This window comes from Homo sapiens, chromosome 11 (genome assembly GCF_000001405.40).
Source record: "Homo sapiens chromosome 11, GRCh38.p14 Primary Assembly".
Taxonomy (NCBI): Eukaryota; Metazoa; Chordata; class Mammalia; order Primates; family Hominidae; genus Homo; species Homo sapiens.
In genome coordinates this window covers 76337228-76344983 of record NC_000011.10, presented here as the reverse complement: position 1 = coordinate 76344983, position 7756 = coordinate 76337228, and positions in this window count along the sequence as shown.

Here is a 7756-nt window from a genome sequence, read left to right as displayed (position 1 = left end):
AGCAGTGTCTGCCCTTTAAATTGTTATTAGTGTAAATGGTAATCCCATAAGTATGTCATCTTTATAGGAGAGAGATTTATTAAACAGGCCAGGGTCTGGGGTTTTTGGCACCATTTCTGTTTTGTGTTACCGTAAAATTTGGTTTTAAAAATATTTGGTATTGCTTACATCTTTTTTGGCAAATTCCTATTCTTGGTATGATTGTTTTTCTTTAGAAGAGTACATGTGATTAGATTGTAGATTTGCAAAGCCTTTATTTCCTAAAAGAGATGTTGAAAGCTTTCTTTATAATTGGATTTGTGGAATTTGGACTTCCTTTTATTAATAGCAGCTGCTGTATATTGAGCACTTACTATGTACCAAGCATCGTTTTAGGTACTTTGTATCAGTCATTTAGGTCACAATAATCAGATGTTACTATCGCCATTTTGGGGATAGACAAGAGAGCAAATGGCTTGTCCAAAACCACTCAGTGGTAGAGTGGGATTCAGACCCTAACCAACTTGATTCTGGTAGACTAGGCTGCTCCTCAAAGAGGAAATACCCACCTTTTTACAAATGAGTATGGAAAGACTAGGGGGAAAGTACACCAAAATACCAGTTTGTCTCCAGGCGGTGGGACTATGAGGAATTATAACTTCCCGTCTTTGACATTACAATTTTTCAAATTTTCTATTATATATATAGCCATCTTGAAAAAGATTAAATAGCATTCTGAAATAGAAAATTCAAGATTACTTCATGAAAACATTTTTCTTCCAGAATATTTGTTACTACTTTTCCAGTTCCATTTAACACACGTCATGCCAGGTATTATGCTAGGTGTTTTGGCTGCAAAGATGAGACGTTGACCCTGTTGGCAAACTTAGACTGCTAATTCTTCAGGGCCCAGCTCAAGTGTCCTATAACCAGTGTACCCTTATGTCTGGCCCTCAGTTCTCACCCCCTCTCCTGTTACCTGCCTAGTCCAAACCATCATCATCTCTCACTTTATCGTTCCCTACAAGGTTATTTTCCACCCAACAGGCAGAGTGATCGCGTGGACCTCCTTTTCTCAGACCCCCACACTTAGACCAGAATCCAAGCTCCTGACCATGACTCTTAAGGCTCTATGTGAGCTGGTCTATGCCAACTTCTGGACCTCCTTCATTCTGCCCAGCTATTAATGGTGGTCTTTTGGTTTCATCTACTCGCCAAGCTCATTGAGAGAAGCTTGTTCAAGGCCTTTACACTTGATGTGCCTTGAAAGCTGTTGACCCAGTTAGCTTCTAGCTCATTTTTTATACCATTCAGGTCTTTGCTGAAATATTCTCCACGGAGAAGTTTTCTCAGACTACCCTTTCAAAACTAGCCTACCTTTCCTGGAAATAATGGGTCTTCCCACACTAGTATATAAGTTCTACAAAGGCTGGGACTTTGTCCTATTTACTGGTTGTATTCCAAATGTGTAAAACAGGACCTGGCATGTAATAGTTGCTCCATACTTGTTGAACAAATGGTGGGTTCTAGGGCCAATGGGAAATTCAGAGTGGCTAGAGGATTGGAGGGGAGGAAAGCAACCAAAGTGAGGATAGAAAGGGATTTAGGGGCCAATCCATGAAAACCTAGGAAGCCCTGCTTAGGAGTTGGCCCTACTCATGTGACCTGGTCATAGAAACAGTGCCCTTCGCAGGTGAGATGCATATGGCAGAGTACAGCCTGTAGTTTCTGGGCGTGTTTAGAAAGTGAGAGAAGAGACCAGGTGCAGTGGCTCACGCCTGTGATCCCAGCACTTTGGGAGGCTGAGGCAGGCAGATCACCTGAGGTCAGGAGTTTGAGACCAACCTGGCCAACATGGTAAAACCTCGTCTCTACTAGAAATACAAAAATTAGCCGGGCATGGTAGGTAGGCACCTGTAATCCCAGCTACTCAGGAGGCTGAGGCAGGAGAATCGCTTGAATCCGGGAGGCAATGGTTGGAGTGAGCCGAGATCATGCCACTGCATTCCAGCCTGGGCAACAAGAGCGAAACTGTCAAAAAAAAAAAAAAAGACAATCAAAAAGCAAACCTCACATTGGCCACTGTTAATCATAATTAATAACGTCTGTGATATGTATAGTCTTTCTTCCAATGTGTTCCAAGTCTCGAGACGTGATCCCTTTGGCCCCCAGGCCCCTGCCACAATAACAACCTTGGCATGCGACTCACCACCCTCTGCTGCCATATAATACCCTCCTATTTATCACCCGTCTTACCCCTTCCTTTCCAAGTGAAATAATTTATGCCTTATTTTTTCTTCTCTTCCTTCCCTGCTCAAACCACAACCCATGTAATTTTCATTGCCCTCTTTAGAACCTGCTTGTGTCTCAGCTCCTGCCTTTTTATACAGAAGGGGAGCCAACCTGAAACAGTATGGATGAAGAGATGCGCATTTTTAAATCACCCTCCATACATAGTGGCATCTTCTTCTGGACTGCATTCTTTTCCAGCGTACAGTCTCCTTGAAAGACAGATGACTAAATCCTTGTGCCTTAAAATTATTAGCAGTCTTAGTGCTCATTTGAGGTTAAATTCCCTACCCATAGCATGAGATTTATCCATGTGCTTAAATAATAGAATTAAAGGATTGATTCTGCTGTGCTTCATATAATGACGCTTACACTTAGGAAGGAATATAATATTTATTGTGTGCCTCCTGTATGCCAGGCACTGTGGACCCACAATTTGATGAGGCTGATATATTATTCCCATGGGAGAACTGAATTTCAGGATCATTTGCCTGAGGTCCGTGTCTGCCCAAAGCCAGAGGCAGTGCTCTTCGCACTGCACCACACAGCCAGCCTCAATCCCACAGCACTCGAAGGTGCACCAAGAGTTTGTACAGATGTCTTGTCATTTCAGTCCTCGTAACAGCCTATAAGATGGCAGTGTCATCCCCAGGTGGCTTGCCAAAATGCAGCACTGCTGGGATGGACTTTATGTCTCTTTTCCTCCAGCTCTTTCTTCCTTGTTTGTTTTTTGTTTTTGAGACAGAGTCTCACTCTGTCACCCAGACTGGAGTGCAGTGATGTGATCACGGCTCACTGCAGCTTCTGCCTTCTGGGCTCAAACGATCCTCTCACCCAGCCTCTCTAGTTGCTGGGACAAAAGATGTAAACCATCACTCCCTGCTAATTTTTGTATTTTTTGTAGAGAGAAGGTTTTGCCATGTTGCCCAGGCTGGTCTTGAACTCCTGAACTCAAAGGATCCACCTGCCTCAGCCTCCTTAAGTGCTGGGATTACAGGCATGAGACACTGCGCCTGGCCAGCTCTGTGGCTTTCTGATTTGGAGTCTGGTGCATAGGGTCCTGGTGCATGTCACTGTGGTGGGTGGAGGGATTTGAATCTGGCTCTTGAAGAGAGCATTGGTGGGAGATGCTGGAGGAGCCACAGCCCGTGTGACATCAATAAGAGCAGAGACATGGGCCTAGAAGAGGCTGTTGTCCCTTTCCTGCTGAAGGAAGTGGAGAGAAGTGTGGCCGGGACCTGGAAGCATCAGAGTGAGAAAAGGGTCAGGGTTGGACAAAACAGCAGCAAGGAACCAGAGAAAGCAACAAGGAGGGTATCGGGACACCCCATCTAAATGCTGTCACTTTGAAGTGGTGGGGCCTTGGGTAAACCACTTCACCTCTCTGAGCTCATGTATTACAGTTTTTATTGTGGAGTCTATGGGCAAACCTCATCACATCCTGGAATGCCACTTTCTCCAAGGAAAGGTCTGGCTAACCCGACTGCTCACCAGCTGATTGTGGTTAACTATCCCACGACAAGCATGAAATATTGGTGTGAAGAACCCAGAGACTCACTTATTTTCCCCACCCTTCCACTGACCTTGAGAGAGATGTTGGGCAGATTGCCACCCCTCTCTGGGCCTGTCTCCTCATCTGTAAAGCAAGGATGCTAACATATCTCATGATGAAGGAGAAAGCATTTAATCAGCTATATACAATATTGTTACTAAAATGCTCTGACAGAAAAAAGGCTTCTAGACGAAATTAGAACAGGGTGAGATATGTGCCAAGGGACCTAGAAAGGCTTCTTGGAGGAGTGTGGTGTGAACTAGGTCACAAAGACTGGATAGGTCAGCAGGTAAGGATGCAGAACTGGTGTGGATGGCCAGGGCAGAGGCCCGGTGTCCTATCAGAACAGGAGGGCTACTGCTGTGTCTCTTTCCTTCCATCTGACTCCATCAGCATCCTCCACTCTCACAGCTCAAGCCCGTGAGTCTCAATTCTAAGAGGCTATTGGTGGAGACACATTTTCAATTACATAATAGCTTTTAGGGGAATAAAACATATTTCAGCTATAAACATACACTAGTTTTATGTTGCATCTCAATTTCAAAACCATTAAACTGTGGGGATAAAATGTATCTTAGAATTGAAAAAATACAGTTATCTCACATCAGAATGAATACTACCAAAAAAAGTCATGTGGACTTTGGAACCAATGTTCAAGTTTCTGTTCTGTCACATACTAGCTTTGTTATTCTGGGCAAGTCACTTGATTTATTTAGGCATCAGTGCATTTTTAAATGGTCTATAAATTGGGCATAGGAGGCGAGCAGTTAAGGTTGTTTGAGTCTGAATATTGGTTCATTTTGGGAAGAGGTCTCCAGGAACATATTTTGTCAAATTATGGGTTGCCATTGAATAACTATATGTTGTCATTTTTAGAATAGCATAACACAGACCAACGGTTCTCAACTGGGGGTGATTTTGCCCCACCCCCACCCCCTAGTGACATTCGGCAATATCTGGAGGCATTTTTGATTGTCACAACCGTGGTGCAAGGAAGTGGTACTGGCTTCTAGTGAGTAGAGGCCAGGGATGCTGCCGAGCATCCCACAGCCCCACAACAAGGATCATCTGGCCCAAAATCCCCATAAAGGTTAGGAAACCCTGACATTGAGATGAAGAACATAGATTGTGGAGCCTAACTGCCTTGATTTGAACCCTAGTTCTGCCATCTCTAGCTGTGTATCCTTGGGTCAGTTGCTTCACTTCTGTCCTTCAGCATCTTCATCTGGGGAAGGAATAATAACTGTCTTCCACATACAGTGGCTGTGTGGATTACTAGGACCTACTGCAGGTGGAGCATTTCAAGCAGAGGCTGGCATCCAGGAGGCACTCAGTGTCAACTCTTATTTCAAGTACTCAGTGAGCACTAGACTTGGTGAAACTACCTGGTGATCAGAACCAAGACTTCAGATAAGATACTTATCTCCATGAGCCAAAGTTTCTCCAGCTGTAAAAAAAACAAAAACAAAACAACAAAAAAACACGTTTCGGGGATCAAATGAAATCAAGAATATGATAGCACTAGGGAAACAGTGGAAAATCTTACAGATACACTTGTATCATTATTATTGCCTCAAACTCTATCCAGTAAGAGAATGTTCTGGGGTGAAGCAATAAACTCTCCCGGGCCAGGCTGTAACTCAGCAGAAGGGACAGCCAGAGAGAGGAAGTGCTCAGAGCAGCACGTTGCAGGCCCAGTCCTTAAGTGCATCCTCAGCTGTGAGTCCAGGAAGTCGCCTTTATTGCTCTGTTATGTGCAAACTGCGCCCCAGCTTCACATACCACTTTCCCCAAAGGAGCGCTTGGCAAACCAGCATACACGCCTGCTCTGCAGACTCTAAACTCTGGGAAAAACAACAGCATAGATGGAAAGAGAGTGCTCTATAAGCCTTTGGCCAGGGATCTCTTCCTGCTCCACCTCTGTCTTCTCTGGCCCCAGTTTTCTGAGCTCTTGGATGAAGGAACTAGATTGCTGGCCTGAACTCCAAGGCCTACTGGAGCCCTCGTTCTAACCACACAGAACTGAGTGAGGATTTTTATTATCTTTAATAGGGAACAATTATATAGCAGGGACTGTGTCTATCAGTTTACATAAATAAAGTTGTGTTGGCGGGGTGTGGTGGCTCATGCCTGTAATCCCAGCACTTTGGGAGGCTGAGGTGGGAGGATTGTTTGAGGCCAGGAGTTCGAGACCAGCCTGGCCAACAAAGCGAGACCTTGTCACTAAAAAAAATTTTTTTAAGTTATGTCTCAGAAGCACCTCGTGAAACATTGGGTATTATGGCCATATTGTTGATACCACTGAGGCTCAGAGACGCTGAGCAACTTGCCCAGAATGCATAGAGCAAGATCCATATCACTCACCCAACACACTGCAGTACCCCAAGCCAGAACATGCAAAGATTTTGGCAAACACTAGGCACTTAATACTGTTAATTGAGTTTAATGAATGAATACAAGGGGAAATCACAAAGTAGTTTGTTCCTCATTGAGCTCTGTCCACTCCGTCTCTCACCACATCATCTCCTCTCCTTGTCTCAGCTCCCAGTGCCCACTCACTCTTGGAAGAGCTCTGCACCCTCTCAGCAGCAAGTAAAACTGTTTTTTGGGGGGTGGGGGCTGGAGTCTCGCTTTGTCGCCAGGCTGGAGTGCAGTGGCACGATCTCGGCTCACTGCAACCTCTGCCTCCCGGGTTCAAGCGATTCTCCTGCCTTAGCCTCCTGAGTAGCTAGGACTACAGACACCCGCCACCATGCCCAGCTAATTTTTGTACTTTTAGTAGAGACGGGGTTTTGCCATGTTGGCCAGGCTGGTTTTGAACTCCTGACCTCAGGTGATCCGCCCGCCTTGGACTCCCAAAGTGCTAGGCTTACAGGCGTGAGCCACTGTTCCCAGCCAGTAAAACTGTCCTTAGGGACCTTCAGTGACAACTATAGAGAACCGTCCTTCTCACTATTCTATTTGGTGAGGCTGCTCTGTGCCAAGCCCTGAGTGGGCTTGAGGACACAGACCTGAGTCATCCCTGACACTTGATTTGAGGGAAGTTCATATCTGTGGGAGGTGGGTGGGAGTGAGTGGGAGACTGATGAGAAAACCGGCTAGTTACAAGATGGCACAATAAAAGCAATCCTTGAAGGGGAAAGGCTCAGGAAAGCCTTCCCTGGAGTGGGAGGAGGGGGGCAGGCAGAGGTGCAGTGAGGCTTCTTTTAAAATTTGCACACCTGTATTTGACATGGACTGGGCCACAGCTGCCCCCTCCCATCATCCCAACTTATCCTACATTCAGTGTCCTGACACCACATGATGGAAAACTGAAAAATAGTCTCTGTCTAGCAGCTCAGAATCAGGACTGGGGAAAAGGAGGAAAGTAACTGCTGCTAGGGACCTACTATAGGCCAGGCACTTTAATCTACTTTAACTTAAAACTAGCCTGTGAGATAGATAGACCCATTGTAGAGTTAGGAGGAAATGAGGTTCAAAGAGGGTAGACAATTTGCTGATGTGACGGTTCCAGAGGAAATTGCTTATAAGGATAAGTAGGTCAGGCCAGGTGCTGTGGCTCATGCCTGTAATCCCAGTACTTTGGGAGGTTGAGGTAGGCTGATCACTTGAGCCCAGCAGTTTGAGACCAGCCTGGGCAACATGGTGAGACCTTGTCTCCATTAATTTTTTTTTTTTTTAATTACCTAGGCATGGTGGTGCACTTGTGTGGTCCCAGCTACTAGGGAGGCTGAGGTGGGAGGATCACCTGAGCCCAGGAGGTCCAGGTTGTGGTGAGCCATGATTGTGCCACTGCTCTCCAGCCTGGGTGACAGTGAGACCCTGTCTCAAAAAATAAAAATAAATAAAAAATAAATGAGGATAAGCAGGTCAATAGGCCTCCCCATTTTGGGTCCTTTTGGAGGTCCACCCTCCTATGGCCCCTGAGAGGGGCAG